General features: G+C 43.2%; 1 annotated feature.

Moving 5' to 3' along the window:
- Positions 22,925 to 23,425: an enhancer, noted in NCBI's record as "H3K4me1 hESC enhancer chr6:1226362-1226862 (GRCh37/hg19 assembly coordinates)". NCBI's record gives its function as "activates a minimal SCP1, AML or CMV promoter by ChIP-STARR-seq in primed H9 embryonic stem cells {active_cell/tissue: H9 hESC(primed)}" and the evidence as "EXISTENCE:reporter gene assay evidence [ECO:0000049][PMID:30033119]".

Consider the following 24,048-nt stretch of genomic DNA (forward strand, 5'->3'; position numbering starts at 1 on the left):
CAGATTCCTGCAGCTGGACTGCAACCTTTCAGGTAGGGGCTTGCTTTCACCTCCGTACCTGTGACTCGAGCACAGGTTGCAGCCAGGGGCAGGTCCCCGAAACTTCTGTGCAGTCAAGCATGGAGACTGGATCCATCTGCACACTGCAGGGGTGGCTCCCTAACATGATCTGCAGGGCTTATTTCCCATCCACTGCCTCCTTTCAGGTGTCAGTTAAAAGCATTGCCAAGCTTCATTTCCATCGAGGGGATCACTGAATGTGTTTCCTCTGCATAAGCATACAGTGCAATGCACAGCAATAGTGATCTCCCAAATTAGAACACTTGCTGAGGTGTGTCTGAGGGTAAATGTGGAAAGCCTGACAGACCTGGAAGAGCTTGGTGATCTGGAGGAGTGTGTGTGAGTGGAAGAGATACAGTTTGCTGTAAGCAGAGATGAGACCATGGAGGGCCTGGCACCACTTTAGGGATTCCGGCCTTTATTTTCAAGCCTCTCTGGAGCTGTGGAAGAAGGCTCAGTTATGAATCTCAGGAGAGTCCTCGAGGAACACTCAGAGAATGATATTGACAGCTGGGGAGCAGCGAGGAAGCTGTTGTAGGCATCCACGTGGAAGTCAATTGACCTGAACAGGGAGAGTGGCCCAGAAACAGAAGCAAGCTGATTCTCAGGACATGCTTGCATTGGTCAAGAGCAGGGAGACTGTCGGCTTCCAGTCTTTTGGCCTGGTCAGCTGTCTAGATGATGAAGGCATTCACTGAGGGCGACGGGCTGGAGGACAAGCAGAACCTGGGGAGTGGTTCACCTTTCATGCCCGTGGGACATCCGGCCGCAGACACCAGAGGCAAGTCAGTGCCACAGGTCTAGAGCTCAGGGCTAGGTTGTGGGTTTGGGTTTAGATCTGGGAGCCATGACCTATGGGGTGTCCTGGAGACACACGAGAGGATATGACCACCCCAGGGAGAGGGCAGGGGAGAAAGAAGGAAGCCGAGGGTACAGCTGAGGGAATGCCAATGTCGCAGGAACAGGTGTTCAGAAAGAAATTGCTCCGTGACGCTTTTTGCAGCTCAGTGAGGAAGACTATTCAGGGCCATCTCCATAGGGTTAGGGACTACTGTAACAGGGTCCTGCAGCGCGGGAGAGAGACCGGACTCAACTCTTCATACAGCCTGGGCAAGTGGGGATTTATAGTAAAGGAGCAGGTTTGGGTCAGTGGATGGAAAATGGCTGAGGAGACATCAGGGGTCAGGGGAATTCTGACTGAACTGACCTCACAGGATTCTTGCTAAAGGCAGGGCAGGGTGATCAGACAGCCCCGGGGATGGTGAAAAATGAGGAGCCCAATCGGGTATGGAGGGTGATGATGTATCAAAGGAGGAAGGTTCTGGCTAAGCTAGCCTAGCAATGTTCTTTGCTAAAGCTGGATTTTATGAGGAAGTGCACGGATGGGCTTAGGGGAAGGCCCGGGAGCCTGGCTAAAGCTTGGCCAAGCCAAGAATCTCTGTCCCAGGAGTCTGAGGAGGGCAATTCTCCGACCTGGGAAGGCCCTGCCCAGGGTCTCCAAGGGGAGTGAGGGTCAGCCAGGCTGGGCTGCCAGAAAGGCAGGAGTGATGTAAAGTCCCGGCTAGTCTGCACTTGGCTGGTTTCACAGCCGCTGCACTGTTTCCGCAGATCTCGGCAACTGGGAAATTAAGGCTTCCCCGGATGGCTCCTGTCCCTTTAACTCCAATCAGGTTACAGCCACCTCCACCAGGTTAGGGATCTGTCAGCTACACCATCCCACAGCCCACCGAACTTTTTCAAGAGAAGATCGAGCCATTTGGTAATTAATTAGCCGTGTGTTTATTCTCTGCCCCCTCTCCCCTCGCCAGGCTGTGGGAGCTGGAAAACAACAGCCCTGTCCGTTGGCATCCACTGTATCCCAGCACCCACTCTATCCCAGCACCCGCTCTATCCCAGCACCCACTGTATCCCAGCACCCACTTCATCCCAGCACCCACTCTATCCCAGCACCCACTCTATCCCAGCACCCACTTCATCCCAGCACCCACTCTATCCCAGCACCCGCTCTATCCCAGCACCCACTTCATCCCAGCACCCGCTCTATCCCAGCACCCACTGTATCCCAGCACCCACTCTATCCCAGCACCCGCTCTATCCCAGCACCCGCTCTATCCCAGCACCCACTGTATCCCAGCACCCACTGTATCCCAGCACCCGCTCTATCCCAGCACCCGCTCTATCCCAGCACCCACTGTATCCCAGCACCCACTGTATCCCAGCACCCGCTCTATCCCAGCACCCACTGTATCCCAGCACCCACTTCATCCCAGCACCCGCTCTATCCCAGCACCCACTTCATCCCAGCACCCGCTCTATCCCAGCACCCACTTCATCCCAGCACCCGCTCTATCCCAGCACCCACTGTATCCCAGCACCCGCTCTATCCCAGCACCCACTCTATCCCAGCACCCACTCTATCCCAGCACCCGCTCTATCCCAGCACCCACTGTATCCCAGCACCCACTCTATCCCAGCACCCACTCTATCCCAGCACCCGCTCTATCCCAGCACCCGCTCTATCCCAGCACCTGCTCTATCCCAGCACCCACTCTATCCCAGCACCCACTCTATCCCAGCACCCACTCTATCCCAGCCCCTGATACATAGACACTTGTGGAAGGAAGAAGGGAGGAAGGAAAGAGGTCAAGAGACAAAGGGAAGAGAAGGAAGACAGCACTCTGCATCTGTTCCAGTCTCTGGAGGAGCAAACAGCAGCAGTGAGCCCGGTCCAGGCTGCCCGTGTGGACGCGCACCAGTGAGCAGAGCCGGAATCTTTCCAGGCCTCTCATCTCATTTGCACCCTGATGTGCCCATCCGCTGGAGGTGGCCCTACTAAGCGTCAGCTATGCACCAGCCCCACAATCATGCTTTGACCTGTCATTCAGTCTCCACCACAGCCTTACCACTTAGATCACCTTCGGATCACTCTACAGAAAAACGAGCCTCTGAGAGCTTAACTTGCCCAGAATATTTCTGGCCTCATCCAAATGTCAGTGTTTTTTGCTGTACACAGTTGAGTTGCCAGATAAAACACAGAACCTTCAGTTATATATGAATTTCAGATCAACAATAAATACTTTTTAGTATAAGTATGTTCTAAATATCACATGGAACTTATACTAAAAATAAAAACATCTCTATTTCATCAGAAATTCAAGTTTAGCTGGGCTTCTTTATTTGCTAAATCTCCTACTATTTGATCAATCACAGTACCACACTGAAGTACACAGGCCAGAGAGGTATGCATGTTCAGTTCCTCAGACAGCTACTGACATACAAATGGCACCTTCTTCCCTGCCTGAGCCTCCAGAGACATCCAAGACCCTGCGGTTGGCCAGCTGCAGGGCCAAGTACAGTTCTAAGGGAATTTCATTTCCCCTGGAAACTAAGGCGCTTTCTTCCTCCCTTGGCTCTTAGAAGTACCACCCCACGGCCTCGTCCCTGTTCCTGTGACTGACTGCCAATCACCTTTACCAACCCACCCGCCCTATAATTCTGACATGAGTGTCACATTCCCTTGGAGCCACCTGGAAATGTCTGGAAATACCTTTGCCCTAGAGAGTAGTGGTATCACCTAATAGGAGTTATTTGTTTGCTGGTTTGTTTATTTCTTCCTACTTTCCATTTTAATCACCTTTTTATATCAGTCCCAAAGCTTTTGCTTGTTCTTATTATCATGAAACCTTCTTTCTTACCTTTTCTCTATTAGAATTCCTGCAGGCATTTGTTTTATTATCATCCTTTATTCTGTATGTTAAATATATTATATGTGCTCTTTTACTCTTATTCGTGAAAATTAATTAGAACAAATACACAAGCCAGAAACACACTTGTGAGTCCAAGACTTTTGTGATTTATTTGCCATCCCATCCGAAGGCATCTTTGCTTCTATTATCAAATGGTTGCTGAACTTCCTGTGTCTGAGAAGAAACTGGCTTGAGAAAACCAGTGCTTCATTTCTCAGATTCTATTTGATGCAAGAATAGGAGAAACACTGTCAGCCACAAGATCGACAACCTAATCTTTCACTCAACTTGTTGTTGATTAAGACTGTCTTTTACATTAAGTACTGGCCGGGCGCTGTGGCTCACCCCTGTAATCCCAGCACTTGTGGAGACTGAGGTGGACGGATCACAAGGTCAGGAGATCGAGATCATCCTGGCTAACATGGTGAAATCCCGTCTCTACTAAAAAAATACAAAAAAAATTAGCCCAGTGTGGTGGCACATGCCTGTAGTCCCAGCTACTTGGGAGGCTGAGGCAGGAGAATCACTTGAACCCGGGAGGCAGAGGTTGCCGTGAGCCGAGATCACACCACTGCACTCCAGCCTGGGTGACAGAGCGAGACTCCATCTCAAAAAAAAAATTAAGCACCATTTTTAAAAAACAGGGTGGCAGCGAATAAAGCAAATCTCACACAAGATTGTACGTCTCTCTCATCCTCCGACCTCTATGTAACTCTGGAGTTTCAGTAACTGTTTGATGGAAACATGGGGCTGGGTTGTTCTGGGGCAGGCACTGCCTTCTGTGGCCTGTTCAAAAGTCACTTGTGTAGAGAATGTGACTCCTGCCCCGAAGCATCCTATGTCCAGGGATTTTTTCCTTTATCCTAATATGTTACTGAAGCTCTAAGTACCAACGCTGACACCTTCAATGAAACCTTTTAACATTGGACAGTGTGGTGGTTTAAGAGGACATGTGGGGTCAAACGACAGCTCAGCCACTTCCTGGCTGTGTGAAAAACTGAATGGTTTGTATCTGTGTCCCCACACAAATCTCATCTCGAATTGGAATTCCCACATGTGGAGGGAGGGACCTGTAATACCCATGTGTTAAGGGAGGGAGGTGATTGGATCATGGGGGCAGCTCCCCCCCACCCATGCCGTTCTCATAATAGTGAGTGAGTTCTCATGAGATCTAATGGCTTCATAAGTGTTCAGAATCTCCTCCTTCGTTTTTCTCTCTCCTGTCACCTTGTGAAGAAGGTGCCTACTTCCCCTTCCACCATGACTGTAAGTTTCCTGAGGCCTCCCCAAACATGCAGCACTATGAGTCAATCAAACCTCTTTCCTTTATAAATTACCCAGTTTCAGGGATGTTCTTTACAGCAATGTGAAAACAAACTAATACACCAACCTTGGGCAAATTATGTAATTGTGCCTGGTCCCCTCATTGGATGAAATAAGGCCATTAAGACAGAAGTGAGGATTCAAAGAAAGAAGATACACAGAACACTTGGAGTGATGCCTGGCAGATGAGATGTTTAATGAATGTCCATCTTTTTTTTTTTTATCAGAATAATCTCAATCCAATCCTGCTTTCTTCATTATGTAACTCAAACTTTATGAAAAGACATTTAAAGTTAATTTTTCTAGGCCGATATTTTCCTATTGAGGTGATAGGTGTTTTTCCTAGCATAAATTAGTAGCCTAATTGCCCCTACAGCCATATAAATTAAATCATATTAAAATTGGGTGAATAGAATGAAAGAGAACAAACTGAGATTCAAATACATATGTTCTAGGTCTCAACTCTGATAATAACCAGCCTTGGGTCCTCACGCAACCTACTTCGTTTCCTTAGCACTCTCCTTAAGTATATGCAATAAGAAATCACCTTTGCAACTCTTTCCAGCATTAAAATTAAATTCTCTGAAGTGTCAGGATAGGCAGACTATAACTACTCCGTATTTGTTAAGAAAAGATTGTGAGTAATGCAGAGAATGTACACTAAAGAGATTACCTCCATCGAGACCACATTGTTTTTAAAAATAAAAACAAAACTCTGTAATTAGAAACTTAAAGTGGTGACTAAATTGCTCAAAACAACTGGAGAACCACAGGAATGTGTCTGGGAAGCTTGTCCATCAGGTAGTTCATGTTATTTTCATGCCCACATCTAGTAATGCCCACTAGTCTAGTAAGGTCTGGCTGCTGGTGGAAACAGGAGTCAGGGACTCCCCCTGAAACTTATCCTGGGGAATAAAACATCTAAATTTCCACTGGATTTAATGCTGTGTCCCCAACTCCATGTCCAGTGACATCACATAGATAGCTTGAAGTTGACCAGCATTTACACCATAGAAATCCACGAACACCACAACTCAGGGTGTTTCACCTCCACCCATGCCCCAGAGCTGGTTGTTAAACATTTCCCAGCACACCTTATTGGATGTTCAGTTTGGTCCAACTGAACTGTACAAGTTCAAACCACAAACTGGAACCCATCTTGAATTGGTCTTCCTCTTCATGAGATCCTTTATAGGGACTGACTGCTAAATTGAGATAGCACTTATTCTACCTCTCTCAAAATATGTATAAATTATATACAATACATACGGATGACAGATGTATTGTGTATATGTGTGTATGAACATATATTGGAAATTAATAACTATTTTATAGAAGAACAAAGGCCTGGTTTGAAGTGAGAACCAGGACAAATAAATAAAAGATGCTTACTTCAGAGCATATTCAGTTATCTTGCCTATTATATGCTTTGCCTGGCCTCATGCTTAAATCTCTACCTTTCCCTCCATTATTGGCTGATTGGTTTGTTCATTCTTCCTCTCTTTCTTCCTTTCACATTCACTCTCCTCCTTGTTCTGGGAAGAATTTATGATGCATATCTGTATGTTACCTTGTTATAATGTTGATGCACAAGGCTAGCCTTTAAACATGGACAGAACACATGAGCAGAGAGGTAGCAGGGGGCGGGCAGAGATTTCAGACAAAGGCAACAAGATGAAAGCAGGAATCACAACATTAATTTCAAGAAAGAAGTAGTTTAAAGGTATTTAAAGGGCTTTTTAAAACATTAAGCAAGATTAAGACTATATAACAGTCACAAACATGTGTTTCCCCCCAAAAAAAAATTATAGAAGAATTTAACACACTCCTCAGAGAATTAGACATCAATTTTAAAAGGACAAGATAGTATCTCATCATAATGCAATAAAATTAGAAAAATACAATAAAAAGAACAGCAAAAATAGTTTAATTACTTAGGAACCAAAATATATCTTTCTACATAATCATGTTAATAAAATTAGAACTTGAACTTAAAATTAAATACATGTAGAAAGCAATCCAATAATTGCTCTCTAGATATATTTATATGTAGAGATATAGCTAAAGCAGTACTAACTACTTGATCTTAAGAAATTAGAAAAAAGGCTATGAAAATAAAGCCAAAATTTTTTAAAAGTAGAGAGAATCAATAAAGACATTTGCTGAAATTAATAAAAATAAGAAAAAAGTAGTAGAAAATATAAATTTTAAAGGTGATTATTTGGAAAGAATTAAAATAGGTCTCCATGGGTGTGATGGAACATAAACAGGGGGAGCATAAACAGGGGGAGCATAAACAGGGGGAGCATACAGGGGGAGCATACAGGGGGAGCATAAACAGGGGGAGCATACAGGGGGAGCATAAACAGGGGGAGCATAAACAGTGGGAGCATAAACAGGGGGAGCATACAGGGGGAGCATAAACAGGGGGAGCATACAGGGGGAGCATAAACAGGGGGAGCATAAACAGGGGGAGCATAAACAGGGGGAGCATACAGGGAAGAAAAAATACGAATATGGAAGGGATTATAAGAATAATAAGTCAGTAGCATGTGTAACTCTGAGGCAATGAAGTTGAAATCTACAAAAAAATTGTAATTTTCTAGCAAATACAAAATGCCAACATCTCCCCATGAATGAAGAAAAAATTTTAATATATTACTACCATAGGAGACATTTAAAGAATGATTAAAGACCTACCATTGAAAAAGATCCCAGAGTCAGCTGGCTTCAAAGCTAAGTCCTACTAATATTTCTTTACGGTTAATTTTAACGTAATACGTATTTGTGTATGAGAATTTCCCCAACTCATTCTCTAAAATTAATGTGTTCTTAATAACAAAACTTGATAAAAAAATTAGTGTAGTACCTAAGATAACCCTATAAATAAATATCTTTTATGAGTAAAAACTGTGCTAAAATTCTGAATAAAAAATTAACATGAAATTCAGCATCTAAAAAGAACAGAGTTTCATCAAGTCAGCTTTACACCAAGAATGGCCCGGTGCTCACTATGAGAAAACATATCAACATAATTTATTATATCCACAAGAAGAAGAATCATATAAACATACCAACTGAGACCAGAAGAACTTTTATAAAACTGAAACAGCTGCTTCTACCAAAGCCTCAGTTAAATGGAAATAGAAACGGAATATTTTATATATAATAGAGGATCCTTACCCAAATCCAACTACCACCATGATTGTAAGTGGAAAAATGCTAAAAGCTAAAGTCATTTCCACTAAAATCAGGAACAGGCAGGGGTTCCCCCATCACCAGTGCTATTCAGCATAGTTTTAGCAGTCTGGAAAATGACATAAGGAAAGAAAACAGTACATTTAAGCATTGGAAGAGTATAGATACCTTTTTTTTCGCTAGTAATACGATTTTATACACATAAAATTCAGCACTTAAAGGGGGGGGTGGGGAATGCCATTAGAATTCATTGAAGAATTTGGTAAGGATCTATGTACACAATAAACATATGAAAATCATTAACATTTTTTCTATACTGATATTAAAGATCTAAAAATTGATATTAGGGAAATGCTAATTCATAACAGGGAATAAGTCTATAAAAGAAGACAAAATCTGATAGGAAATGTTGTTCAGGGTATGTGTAGAAAACTGTAAAATCTTATTGAAGGAAGAAGGCTTAATATTATAAAATGTCAATATTTCTAAAAATTAATATATAATTTCAATTTAATCCTAGTGGATTCAGGGGAAATGTGAGTTGAATACAGTTATCTTAAAGTTCATATGGAAAAGTAAGTGCCCAAAGATAACAAAGATAAAAGGTTTTAGGACTTGGGGGGTGAAGGGGTTGCCTTGCCAGCTACTAAGACATACAAGAAAGTCACTATAAATGATATTGACATAGAGAAAGGCAAACAGGCCAATGAGACAAAACAGAAAATCCAGAAACAGATCTAGAGAAAGGCAAACAGGCCAATGAGACAAAACAGAAAATCCAGAAACAGATCTAGAGAAAGGCAAACAGGCCAATGAGACAAAACAGAGAATCCAGAAACAGATCTAGATTTACATGAGAGTGTAATAAATGGTACAGTTGGTATTTTAGTTTGGTGGGTAGAGTTTATCAAATGAATGATGTTGGCACAAATGGCTCTCCATCTGGAACAAAAGAGAATTGAAGCACCACCCACACTACATGGAAAACTAACACTAAAGGAAGTAAAGGTTTAAGTATTAAAAAAAAAGTAATTAACAATAACAGTAATTTAGAGTAAATTTTAGGAGAATATACATATGACCTAGAGAATAGGTAGATCTTTTAACAAACAAGCAAGCAAAACAGAAGAAAAGAAAAAAAGGTGGTAGGAGCTCAGAAGGTATACAGAAATACACATATATTTATTTATAGAGGATGTATTTATATAGAGAGTATAATTATATATATACTTGATTGCCTACAGAAAAAAATTAAATATCTAAGATAAAAATATAGTGCTAATAAAATCAAAAGAAAAATGATACACTGGGTACAAATATCTGTACTGCACATTTTAAAGGGAATTATCTGTAGATAAAGGTAATTGTCCATAATATACACAGAGCTTTCACAGATTGTTAAAGACATACAACCTAAAAGTAAAATGGGCAAAAGAAATGAAGTGATTTGCAGAACATACCCAAATGGTCAGCAGACATATAAAAAAATGCTCAGCTCCATTGGTACTTAGGAAAATGAAAATGAGTAACTCTCAACAAGGAAAAACATTTGAGCTTGGTGACACTGCACCAGCAGGGAAGCTGGTTAGGAGCACTCACAGACTTCTGCTGGAAATGTCAGCAGCGGCTGCCTTGCTGCAAAAGCATGACAACATCTATTCAAACAAGCCTAGAGAAATACATGCTGTTCAACCTAGCAAGCCCACTGCCAAAAATCTAGTCTATGAAAATAAAAGCATCATGGGTCAAAGATTTTCACATCATAGCAATCGCATAGTAGCCAAAAAGTTTTGAAAGAAAGAGAGGACTAAATAAATATCAAAATAGATACTTGAATAAATTTTATAAATGCATACATTGAAATATTATATAGTCACTAAAAAGAGTGAGTTGTATAGCAGCTTTCTCTATAATAGCACCAATCTGAAAACAGCCCAGGTGTCTATCAATGAGAGAATGAACAAACTAAGTGTGGTATATTCATAAAATGGAATACTGCTCAAGGGGAGAAAAAGCTGGGAAGAAACCCTGATATTGTAAGGACTTCATATATATCATGACTTCATATATGATATATATGAAGTTTTAGACGCAGCAAAACTAATCTATGGTAGGAAACATCAGAATACAGTTTGTCCCTGGGTGGGGGAATTGGGAATTCATTGGGTGGGGGGGCACAAGGGTACCTTTTGGGGTTATAGTGTTGCTCTGTATCTCAATAGGGATTTCGGTTACACAAATGTATGCCATCATCCAAACTCATCAAATAATTTGCTCAATATTAGTGCTTTAGAATGTAAATAAAATTTACCTTGAAGGAAAAAAATATTGAACACTAGCTAATGGCATGTGTGCAAAGTGTTTAGGGGGAAGTATGCTGAGAAGTCTGCAACTTTCCTTGAAATACATTCCCCCAAAATAAGATGGATTGGATGGTTACAGAGATGGATAGATGGAAAATAAGTATAAGTAATAGGTTAATGGTAGAATCGAGGTAGTGGGCATAAGGGTGTTTTCTGTAAAATATCTTCTTTTCTGTATGTTTAACACGCATCATCTATGCTTCATTTGGCATAGATCTAACAGAAAAAGAATCTGCTAGATCTATGCCAAAAGGCTCGAGGAGTATCTATAATGAGATATGCAAGTCCTAGCAAAAGTGCATGGAATAAGGATTCTATTTTTTTAGAATAAACAATGACAAAAATACAATCATGTATGTGTGTGGGTAGCTACCCAAATAACCCCATATAGTTCTATGACCATGAAGATAATTATATAAAGAGCCTGGGGGATGGAGGTGGAGAAGCGCGAGGTGAAAGGTGAGGGTGAATATACTCATGCACACAAAGAGATGCAAGAAGCATGGGCCTCAACACAGCATCAACAGACAGGGCTAGCACAGTTCCAGATCACTGTAATTTCTTTACAATTTTCTATACTGTTTAAAAGGTCTTTCTACAATAATCATTTATCATTTATGTAATCAAAAAGTTATTTTTATTATTTTAGTTTACATGCCTTTGTGGAATATGAGTGTGTGTGTGTGTGTGTGTGTGGTGTGTGTGTGTGTATTTGGGAAAAGGGTTTAATATCTCTTATTGATCTTACTGTCAACTGATGCGTTTATTCAATTGAATGGTGGCAGGCTTATTATCTACTGCTACACATGCTGTGAGAACAGAAATCGTTGTTTATCAAAGCCTGGGATTGCCATAAAATTAACTTTTTGTTTCTCTTCAAATATGATAAAACACGGCAACAATAAAACACTCTCATCAAATGAAAAAAAAAGCTATTTTTAATTTGGATCAACATGAAAACAAACAAAAGAGAATTTTATATTCTTGTTCTTAAAGGGACCTGGGAAATCATCAGGACCCCAGAAAACCGGGAACCACTCCTGCCCACAAGACCTAGAGAAGTTTCTTGTCTTCTCAGCTCCATGCTGCAACTGGCATGAATTCCACTCTGGAAACAGATACATTCACCACCAAGGTTTGCTTTCCATGTTGTCCAATAAGCCAGAACTGGAACAACTAAGAAGGCTGTAGACAGCCAGCTTTGTCAACCACCCAAGGACATTTGCAAGCCTGGAGGTTCAATAGAATTTACAGCTACAGTCTGAGGAGCTCATCCTGCAGGCCTGGCCTGAGGCCATCTTACTCTTAGACTCGGTTTCTTGAAGAGCTCATCGGGCAGGCTGCTGCACAGCTCATGGTGTGACTGTCCCCAGCTGTATCCCTCAGGTCATTGCAAGTGAAAGAGCATAAAAGAGAGTGCAGGGGCCAGGCATGGTGGCTCACAACTGAAATCCCAAAACTTTGGGAGGCAGAGGCACAGGACGGCCTGAGCCAGCAGTTCAAGACCAGCCTGGGAACATGGTGAGACCCTGTCTCTACAAAAAGAAAAAAAAAATAGCTTGGCATGATGGCTTGCACCTGTATTCCCAGCTACTTGGGAGGCTGAGGTGGGAGGATGACTTGAGCCCAGGAAGTTGAGGCTGCAGTGAGCTGTGAGGGCACCACTATACTCCAACCTGGGCAACAGAACAAGACCTTGTCTCAATTTTAAAAAGAAGAGGGTGCAAGGTGGCCTTTTGACAAGGGACTGATCCCGAAAGGAGCCTATAAGGGTTATGGGGCATGGAACGGTGCTGACGTGTGGGCACAGAACAGAGCTCTTCTACCACTCCTGGGCCAAAGGGCAAGGGCAGGCAGCCGTTCCCGTGCCTGGGGATGGAGGGCTCCAGGAGGGACCTTCCCCAACCAGAGCTGAGACCGGGCTCTGAGGGAAGCCGCCCACTCAGGCCCCTCTGGGAGACAGCAGGGTCCGTTTAACCCCAGCCTGACCTCCTTGTTCAACACCATCACCCGCCCCAGCTCCTACTTGGCCAAACTCACACTGGCACAGAGCGCAGTGGGGAAGGCTGGAGCGAAAACTGGAGAGGCCAAGGAAGGCTTCCAGTGCTTCAGGCTTCTAGGATCTACACCAGCAGCAGCGGTAGCAGCCTACCCAGGTCCTGCTTGCATCCGCCTGCAACGTGGAGTGAGATTCTAACCAGTTGAGCAGCTGCTCCCTCTTCCCTCCCAAACCCAAGAGACACACAGGGAAGTCAAAGTAATCCACAGAAACACGCATGGATCTTGAGTCAGAAGAATGCACCTTGCTTTCCTGCTCTCCTGCCTCTTTGTGAATGCCTAGCTCTTCTGAAGTGGCCCAGTGGGTTAGAGTGAGAAGAATGAGGCCAACAGCAAAGTCCGAGGACGACGAATTCTCAGGGCAGCACAAAGGGGGAGCAACTTCCCCTCTGTACCTTGCCTGCCTCACTCTGGCCCTGGCCCTGTCCAAGAGCAAGACATAAATACACCAACACACTATTTGGGTATACAGTAAGCTCAGTCTGTAAACAACCGCTCTTATGCCAGGTGACATCCTGACATGTATGTCACTGTGACAGCTGACAATGAAGTGGCGTTTTTTTTTCAGCACCTCTCTATAAAAAGCTGCCTCACCTGGGCAACCTGAGTGCCAGTTGATCTGAGCTGAACAAGCTCAGTAATTTAAAACAAATGTCTCAAATGCCATTCATATCTTTCCCTTGAAATGGAAGTGCAGCCAGAAACACTTCCTACTTAGAGCGTCTAAGAAACAGCCTGGAGAATTGAAGCTGTTCTTCCTGCTATTGTGTGTAGTAGAGGAGTGAAGAACCTGGTCAGGAGGCAATTGCTCGATGCCACTGGCTGTGTGACCTTGGACCAGTGACTTAACTGATCTGAACCTCGACCTCATCTTTAAAATGGAGATAACAACGGAGTTGGCCTAGGAGGGTAATTGAGAGGTTTAAATGAGATAGTGTAAATAATGCCTGGCACATGAGAATCAACCAGTGTCAGCGATTTTATTGTTGCTATTTATTATTGCATGATTTTTTAAAAAGATATTTTTGTAATTTTTTAAAAATGTAAACTGGCTATCTAGATAATACGTTTGCATTCCAATTAATTACTGCCAGGAGAATGAAAGTCCTGTTTAAACTAACTTTGGCTTATTGGATGGGATGTTTTCTGCTATGATTAACAGACAAGAAAAAAATACATATATATAACAACACACTCATCCATGGTGTTTCTAAAGAAAATATCATTTCTTAACACGAAAAATGGTATTTATAGCAACTTAGTTTTTTGTTTTACTGTACCAGTTGTGTGAGAATTTTCTTAAAAACTTCCTAAGCCTGAGTCTCATAGCCTTGTCACTAATTAACTGTTCCACTCATTTAAACATTTGCTTGCCTTTGAACCTGGGCCCTATGGACCCCTGGTTGCTGAAGACTGGGCCTGTCTGTCCAGCCTGCTTCTCTTTGCGGCTATGTTGAATTCTCTGTCCCAGTGGGAGCTGAACCGGACTCCATTCTGTATCTCCAAAGCCCACAGGGTTTCTGATCCAGTAAATGTTTGTAAATTTTAAATGACAACCTCCTTGTTATTTTCTGATCAGTAACTGCTCTTGATTTATGCCTTTGCAGCCATCTGGAATGCTCAGCCTGAGACCACACTCTCTCCGCATGCAAAACATCCCCATCGGCTTCTCACACTTCAGGGACTGACTTTACCATCTGCCTTCAAGAGAAACTAGCATAACGGGCTAAACCATTTTTATGGACCACATAATGTCCTCTGATAGAATGTTCTAAACAAGGGTATTGTCATACTCTTGCAAAGCAGGGTGGGGAAGTCCTCCAAGGGCCAGGACTTGGAGCACACCCATGTTAGTGGTTTGGGGAGAGGTGTCCAGGGAGAGGTACATCCTGCCTCAAGTGGAGGTGTACACCTGTCCCATCGGCAGGCTGTGGGGCTGGGCTTCAGGGCCCGGAATCTCACATCTGAAAGGGAGATTAGTAAGAGTAAAGCCTCAATCCTAAAACCGGCTGGGTCCTTGGAAGTTTCTAAAGGTGGATTCAGTCACAGGGCCCAAGTCGCAGTCCTGTCATTAGAACTGGGACTCTGTGGAACCAAGGTGAAGGTCTGCCCACCAGAACTGGAATATAAAGTCATATCTGCCAACTCCAGGGTGACGTGACCTCGAGTCACAGAGTGTCGACTTCACCCGTATTTTAAGTCAGAAATTCCAAACACTCCCAATACATTTGATGAAAACATACCCGACCATTTTTGCCTAATGAATTAACAGAGAAAGACTGATTTTCATTGAAATGATTTACGACATTCGAGTATCCCTTGTGCTGTACAGTTTGTAGCACAGCTTTATTCAATCCCTGCAAACACTCAGAGACACAAGAGTGTACAAATAAAGAACTGGAAACTCAAACTCAGCTCGTCAATGACTCCAACATGCATGTTTTTTTGTGACAGACACACTCTGAATTCAACCATTTCTGAACATGACACATGTCTCTTTCCACTTACATTTTAATCTCCCAGAGGGCGGGATTGTGTCTAAAACAGAAGAGCAGTCCTGGTAATGGCCAGTCTAGTTTTGACTGTAAAGTAGGCCTAATCAATGCATGTTAATTGACTAATATATTTGACCTTAAGGGTACCAACTCCACCCCCCGGGCTGTTGAAAATCCACGTATAACTTTTGATTCCCCAAAAACACAACTATTCATAGCCCACTGTTGACCAGAAGCCTTACTGATAACATAAACAGTTGACTAATATGTATTTTGTATGTTACATGTGTTGTATACTAAGACAATGTCATTTAGAAAATCATAAGAGGAGGAGGAGGAGGGGTGGCAGAGGTGGAAGAAAACCCACATGTAAGTGAGTGGTGCGGCTCAAACTTGTGTCCTTCAAGGGTCAAGTGGACATTAATCAAAGGTCACCAGAGTCCAGCAAAGCAATTCCAGTGGAAAGTATGACTCTCAGTGCTGAATCCTATACCCTTAGACGGGAGCACACACGTGCAGGAGGATTGCTCCATTTTCATCTAAGAAACACGGGGTTGTACAAACATGGGTGCTGCCACCCAAGCAAATCCACTGCTTCAGATGCCGTGAGCATGTGCAGTTTCACACTGAGTGTCTCGTAGCCATGATATAGGTGCACACTCACTGACTTCTGCACAGGAGTAGCTGAGGGCAGCCACAGGATGACAAGCATAGCTGGTAGCTGGGTCCATGCCAAAGTGCAGCTGGGCCTCATGTGAAGGGGAGGTCTTCGTGGGTGGGTCCAGACCCCCCACCCCACTTCAACCACAGCAAGCCTGCCATTTCTATTTCCAGCTGAGAGTGGACATCATCATGTCGTCACAATATGCCAGGCCTCTGTCCAGGGCTTTAGGGCTTTAGAAGTATTCATTTAGTGCTTACCACAATCCTATGAGATAGACACAATTATTCTTCTCATTTAGAACTGAAAAATTTAAATCTTAGAGAACCTTTGAAATGTGCTTCTCAGAACAAGCACAGTGGCAGACCTGGGTGATTTACCCAAGACATTTATACATAAAATGCCTTCCAATTCCCATTGGGCAAAACTCTTTATTTGATGCCATTTAAAACCTTATTATGTTAAATTCTCTAACCAGAAGCTACAGATAAGGGTCGTCCAAAAATTTCTCCACTTGGCCTTTTAAAGTAAGTAAATAAATAGAGATGGTAAATTCATGCTGAATATTATAACACTGACTCCAGAAGACTGAATTTGAAAAGACATTACTAGCATATTTTAGAATAAAATGATACATATTTTCAACAGTTTTACGGAATTTGTAGAGTGGCACTGGAGATAGGATAGAGCAGTGGTTCTCAAGCAGGGGACAGATTCAGCCCCCATGGGATATGCGGCAATGTCTGGAGGCATTTCGTGTTGCCACAACTGAGGAGGGGGTGCCGCTGGCTCATGGTATGCAGAGGTCACAGATACTGTGAAGCATCTTACCATGCACAGCACAGCCCTCCCAACACAGATGTATCCAGTCCAAACGTCCACAATGTTGAGACATAGATGGGTCAGTCTGTAGGTATGAAGGTAGGGAGGTGGATGCATGGACGGATGGATGGATGCATGGATGGATGGATGGATGGATGGTAAGACAGATGGACAAGAATAGGCCCCGGAAGTTACTTTTGAGGCAAAGGCTGATTTAAAGTATTACAGTTATTCTAGTTTTGATGCGGTCTTGTCTTGGGGCTCCTGGTCAAATCGTTCCAACTTGATATCAGCATTATCAGTCCTGTTTAGGAGAAACTTATCAGTATATTGAGGACTGATGTGAAGTCTTACAGACACAGCAAGGAATCGCCATCATCCAATATACGAGAAGAGAGAGAAAAAATACAGAATATTGTTTCAAGGTTCTAAAACTACTCAGTTAGAAAAATAATGACACCATTCATGGAAATAAAGGCATTGGAAAAGGAACCGAACTGTGTGGGGAAAAAAGAGTCCAGTTGTGTTATGACACTTTGGATGTGCTGAGTTTGAAATGGCTGTGATGCATCCATTGGAGAGCCATCAGAATGGCTAAGGTAATTGGAGAGCCATCAGAATGCAGGGCTGGACACCGAATAGATCTGGAGATGAGCATTTGGTTTTAAAGTCTTGGCTCAAGCCTGGAGATGAAGGTTCCCTAAGAGCAAGAAAGTGGTCACACTGGAGTGATAACACTGACAGGGCACTGGGCTTCAGAGGACACCCCAGGGAAGAGCCAGGAGAAGGGGGAATCTGCAAAGAGATGGGGGAGGACCAGGAATGGCATGAGGGGCCCGGGAGGAGAGAGTTTACAGAAAAGGTGTGGTCATCAGAAGTGCTACAAGGACAGCCAGACAAAAATCACCATGGTTAAGGTCACCATGATTTGCAAAATGACCAGCAGGCTTCATACTTGCACAGATGCAGAGAGTTGGGAATAGATCCTAGAATAAAATGGAGAAACTCTAGGTAGACCACTTGTTAGAGAAGAACAATGAAGAAGAACAGATTTGGGGAGCATCTAGGCATTGGCTGGTTAAGCAAAAACGTTTTTTCCCTACAATGAGAGCTATCTAAATATGTTCTGGAAAAAAAAAAGATGGGAGGAATAGTTGATAAAGAAAAAGTAATGACAACAGAATCAACTGCTCTTATGAATAGAAGGAAAAAGGAAAGAATGGTTATAATCATTTGAAATTCTCAAGTAACAAGGAAAATTTTACTTTACCAGTGTGCCTTTGCCAAGAAGGATCAAATACTGAAATTTATTTTCTAACTTGCCTGAAACGATCAGAGTCTTTTGGATCTATTTCCAGTTGAAAAAACAAAATGCTAGGAAGCTAACTGGATGTCACCAAAGAAAACTCTCTTCATGTGCCTTGTATCAACATCTGTAAAAGTTGCTCCTACTTTCGTAGTCAGATTAGATTTTACAGCTTCCAGGAGAAACTTACGCAAGGTGTTTGGCATGAACTTGCCAATCCGTGCTTATATTTTAAAAGTAAGAGGAATGTATTAGCTTAGTAAATTTATTTTTATGCCAAAGGGGAAAATGGTAACATTGACCTGAAATGCTTCCGGTGGCTGATAATCTGTATAAAAGAAAAGTGATGCTATTCAGAGTTATAATGACTCTCAGTGCTAAGACCAGCAGAGTCACTTGCCTGCTGCTTTGGCAAGGCCTGGCCCTGAGTCCAATCACATAAACATGCTTTGTAAAACTTGTTACATTCTCAGGAAACCAAAATCCAACCACTGTAATTGCAGAAGTATTTTCCACATTTTTAACAAAATCCAGAAATCTGGGTCAAGGATGACCATCATCCAAATTTATGATGTCTACCTGAAATAAAACTTTGTGTCTAACCGTTTGTTTATACCCACCTTGTTTCAAAAAGGATTTAGTGGCAAATTTATTTTCTTTGTAAATATATAGCCTGTCTTAAAATTCATGCATCAAATATGACTGAAACATGAGTAGGCATGGCATAAATAAAGAACATTTGAATTTTCAAAGGCACAGCCTCCTTTGGAAAGAAGCATCTGTGGAAGGTAGAATTCATGTCTGAGAGCAAGACGTGGCCCTAGTGATCACCTTTTCCAATCACCACCCCCAGTTTGTACAAGATTAGCAATCTGAGGCCAGTATTGGTGAAGTGAGTTGCCTAAAGTATTCCTTTAATTCCAATTTTACTTTTCTTTTGTTTTTTATTTTTATTTTCATGTTTGTGGGTACACAGTAGGTATATATATTTATGGGGTACATGAGATGTTTGATACAGGAGTGCACTGTGAAATAAACACATCATGAAGAACCAGGTATTTACCTCCTCGAGCATTTATCAAGTGAGTTGCAAACAATCCAATTATGCTCTTTAACTCCGATTTTAAAAAGAACTGAGACCAGAGTTGTTAGTTTTCAATAGAATTTTCTTTCCACCTGAGAGTTAGCCTTATGGGTTGCATAAATTTCGTTAATCATAATGATAATGTTAAATCTTGGTTTTGTTGCTCTTGTTTGTCTAAAGTCATTTTGGGAGGATTGTTACTACTTTTGTAGCAATTATCAAAACTGTTGATTTCTCTCATGAGAGTAGGAGCAAGCTCATTTTCCACACTCCCCCCTGTGAGTGGGAGTGGAGAGCAGAGCGTTCTGGTTCCCTAGTGCTCCGCTGGAGGACAGGCTGGAGATGACAGACAGCCGGTAGTAAGCCCCTTCCCAGATGCCTGCAGAGCACAGCGAGCTGGGAATACAGGCGTGCAGGGCTCCATTCAGTTGAAATCCCAAGCATGCTGGTCATCACATAGAATCTGAAGGAGAAGGTGTGTGGGGAGTGACACCAACCGCAGGGGTCAGCATAGGCCCAGAAAGGAGACGTCTCAGCCTTACGTGGGCTCTTCACTGAGCCTAGATATCAGGCAGCTCAGGGAGGACCTCACCAGGAAAGTGTCAGGGCAAAGGAAATGGCATACAGTCCCATTACAGAGGCCTGGCAGTTTTCCACGGTGCTGTAAGAGAGCTATCAGTGGCACACGCATCTGCACTAAGCAATGCCAGCCGAATCAGCTGCCTAGAAACCGGCACCCACAAGACGCCCAACACAGTGGAGCTCTGAATGCCACTGACATAAGACGTCACCACTGAATAGTCCCCTAAAAACACAGACATTTTATTTCCTTTCCCCCAAGTTTCTTCTTTTTGAGGCTTGAATATCAAACGACAATGACTTTCATCACGTAGAATGACCTTCTCTTTTTTTGTTCAGCCAAGTAATGAAAAGATGAATGGTGTTCTTCACTATTTTCAAATAGTCTTAACATCTTAGAAAAATTATAAAACAACTTTTGTTACAGTGACTACCAGCAATTGCTCTAAGACTGGCCTCTGTCCAGCAATTGTACGACACTGGGTGTTTGGCAAGAATCTGCCATGCAGAAAATGGTTCTTAAAAAAAAAAAAAAAGCAATCCTACAAAATATGCAAATCACACTGGATTTCAACTTTAGACCTCTGACATTTAATAACACAAAAATAAGTTATGTCTTACCAATCTGACACTCCTCATTACTTGATTTTAGGCCCTTAATACAGATCAATTTTTATTAAAGAAAGGGCAGCATTTAGGAAAAGAAGTGGAACATGCTGAATTATCAACTACGTTTAATGACAAAGCTGCTTCCTAGGTTCAAGAAAATGTGTTAACTTGAGTTATACCAATTCTGTCAGTGCTTTATTGATAGACCTAGGCGGTAAAGATGTTTTGATGAATGTTATGATCACTTTAGAAATTGCACTCAAGCAAATGGTTACTTCCAAAGCATCCTTTCCAAATTGTGTCAAAAGGAAAGCTAGAGATGTTTATAGGTGCCTAATGGGAAACAAGGCTTTCGCGGTCGGATGGAACATTCTGTTTGATATTCTCCCTCTTGGAGATTTCTAAGATGCATTGACGTATCAAGGGACGATTTGACCACAGAACCCCATTTCCCTGAAATTTTTCCTAAGACTCCAGTGGGCCTTGGTTTCCCTGGACACCAGTTGTGAAGCATTATTCCGAAGTCTCTAGAACATTTCACTCCTTTAAGTGGTTTAAAGAGTCTACTTGTGTTTTGTTTTCACTAGCGGTTTAATTGATAAAGTATTTCCTCATACATAATCCTAAAGCAAACTTTGGCCAATGTCTTAGGGCCCGAACCAAGGAGGGTTTCATGAGGTACATAAGCCACCACAGAAATGGCACATACGCCCATAGTGGCACATTTATCTCCAAACACACCTCACTGCCTTTTTTACCTACGCATCCCCGACTGAGACACAGCCAAACACCCACACCTGGTCACTGGCAAGGGCTTGCACTTTCTGAAGCTTGACTTCATGCTCTCTCCCCTTCTTCACTCTTTCGTCATTCTCTACACCTCAACACCATCTCCTTCTTCTACTTGAAACATCTAGGTGGACCATGCCTGCTCACTTCCCTGGCCAAATCTGCTTTCAAGAAGAATCTAACATAGAAATCTCACTATGACTCAATTGTCCAAGGAAGCTTTAAATGTTATCTTTCCTAATGGTATTTTCTTTTTAAGAGGAACAATTACATCAATTCCTACTTAAAGAATATAGAGATTTTCTTCTTCTTCTTCTTCTTGTTATTATTATTTTGTAGAAATGGGATCTTGCTGTGTTGCCCAGGCTGGTCTCAAACTCCTGGGCTCAAGTGATCCTCCTACCTCAGCGTCTCAAAGCACTGGGATCACAGGAGTGAGCCGCTGTGCCTGGCCCAAGAATGCAGAGACTTTAAGCTAAAGGGAACACAAAGGATAATCTAATATGAATGACACCAAATGATACTGAGGACCAGAGAGCTAAAGCTGTTGGGCCAAGATCACACAACTCAGTAGGGGCAGCATCAGACACACATCAAATACTCTACAAGTGACAGACAAGTGACTGTATCTATGTAGACTCTTTGCTTATTTAATAAAGATGATTTGTCAGTTATTTTATTTTATTGTTGTGTTTGTTTCAAGGGCAAGTTGTTCTCACAATTTGAGAAGGTTATGGGCTGAGCATATGGCTAAGCCAGTTTACCAGACTTTAGGACACCCTCCTTCTACATATTTTAGAGAAAAAGAGGAATTCCTCAAAGTCTCCACCCCGCCTACTTTTAAGACTGACCCCAGAAGGCTCCATGACAGCGTGATTCTCAGGATGGTTGAAATTGAAGCCCTTGGGCTCAGTTTTTCTCTTTGTATGTCTGAGGGGAAAGGACAGAAATTCTAGACCCCACGTGTATCTGATAAGCACCCACTCTGTCCCTGTCACTGTTCCAGACACCTGGGAGATGCTGTAGCAAACAGAGATGGAGTCCCTGTGCTGTGGACCTGACACTCTAGTGAGGACGGCCTCTAGGTAGCGAGGTCACACAGAAAGTTTGGCATGCAAACCTAGAACTCGGGGGAGAAAGAGCAACGTGAGAATCAGCAGAGGAGGGCATTTAAGCCATAGGATGTAAAGTATCCAGGGAGAAGAGGAAGGTAAAGCAGAGACCAGGGCCTAGGCCTGTGTCCTGGAGCTCGAGCGTCGAAAGATTAGGAAAAGGAAGGGGAACCAGGAAAAGAGACTGACAGGAAGCTACCCCTGAGCAAAAATAAAATTAAATTAAAATTAAAGCAAATGACAACAACAACAAACCAAGTTCGGATGCCCCGGAAGCCAAGCAAGAAAGAGTGAGTGACCTGTACTAACGATGTCTATTACCATCCAGCCAGGTGTAGGATGGGAACTAGGGAATGACATTTCATCCGACCGTGTGAAACTCACTGGTGAATACGGTAAGAACGGAGGAAGTAGAAACTGTCTAGAGAACTGTTTTTTATTTTAATTGAGAAAATGGTTAGATTTTTTTTTTTAGATTACCCGTTTAATTTTTTATTATTATTATTATACTTTAAGTTTTAGGGTACATGTGCACAACGTGCAGGTTAGTTACATGTGTAGACATGTGCCATGTTGGTGTTCTGCACCCAGTAACTCGTCATTTAACCTTAGGTATACCTCCTAATGCTATCCCTCCCCCCTCCACCCACCCCACAACAGGCCCCGGTGTGTGACGTTCCCCTAACTGTTTTAAAAAGCCTTGCTGTGAAAAGGAAGACGGAAATAAAGCAGTAACTGGCATGGAAGGTCGCCCAAGGGGGGGACTTTTCCTAAGTAGGAGAGAGTCCGAATGTTCGTGTGCTGTTTGAAAAGATCCAAAACAGGAGGTGAAACCAATGCTGCGGCAAGAGGGCAGACCTCGTCAGCGAGGGTGGCCCTTGCTCTGGAGGGGAGAGTGGACGACCTGGCACACAGCTGGAGGGAGCCTCCTGCCAGAGGAGCAGAGGCGGCTCACCCAACAAGGAGGGGCAAGGAGGGGCTTCAGTACTCGAAGCAGATGCAGGGATGAGCTGGCTCTGTGTCCACGGCTTCTGTTCTCTCAGCCAAATAAGAAACCAGATCATCAGCTGGGAGTGGGGATAAGGAGGGACTCTGTCATTGAAAGGGGGGAACGGCATGAGGCGGAGGTCCCAGAAGTGCCCAGTTGAAAGCCTTGGGTGTAACTTGGAGCAGAGCTGTCTCCCAGGCAGATGAGGGGCCAGGGCAGGGAAAGCTTGGAGCTAAGCTGAGCTCTGGGTTTTTCCAGGAGCCTTGAGGGTGTGTGCAAAGGCATGCTGAGAGTGCGGCGCCTTGCACTCTACGCCGTGTGGGTGTGGGGGTGTCAGTGTGCAGGAGTCAGGAGGAGCAGGGGCAGTAAGTAGGCTGCCGGGGTGGGCCATGGGGGCCAGGAATGGACAATGATGAAATCACTGGTGATGGCAAGTCTAAGGAGTCACCGTGCAAAGCAAGGACTGGCAGGAGGTGGGTGGAAACGCCTGTAAGTGCAGAATCGTCCGTGTGTGGAGAGGTCTTGCAGTTGCCAGGAATGATGCCAGGAGAAGAGGTGAAGAAGCTGACCATGGGAATCTACGGTGACTGCAAGGGGAGCCAGGCCTTCGGTAGGAAACTGTAGGGAACGGTAACATTCACTACAGGAGAATGGTATAGTCTGAGGGGTGCAATTCAAAGGAGATGGGATTTTTCAGGGCAAACAGGGAAAATGGTGGGGAAGCTGCTAGAAGGAGCAGGTGAGCATCTAATTCCAACTCCAGGAACAAGGGTCCTGGGGTTTGGGAGAAAAGGCATTGTATGCTCAGCAAGGTCCCCATGGGCCTTCCAGGTTACAAGCAGAGTAAAATTAAAT

The sequence above is a fragment of the Homo sapiens genome, chromosome 6 (assembly GCF_000001405.40).
Source record: "Homo sapiens chromosome 6, GRCh38.p14 Primary Assembly".
Taxonomy (NCBI): domain Eukaryota; kingdom Metazoa; phylum Chordata; class Mammalia; order Primates; family Hominidae; genus Homo; species Homo sapiens.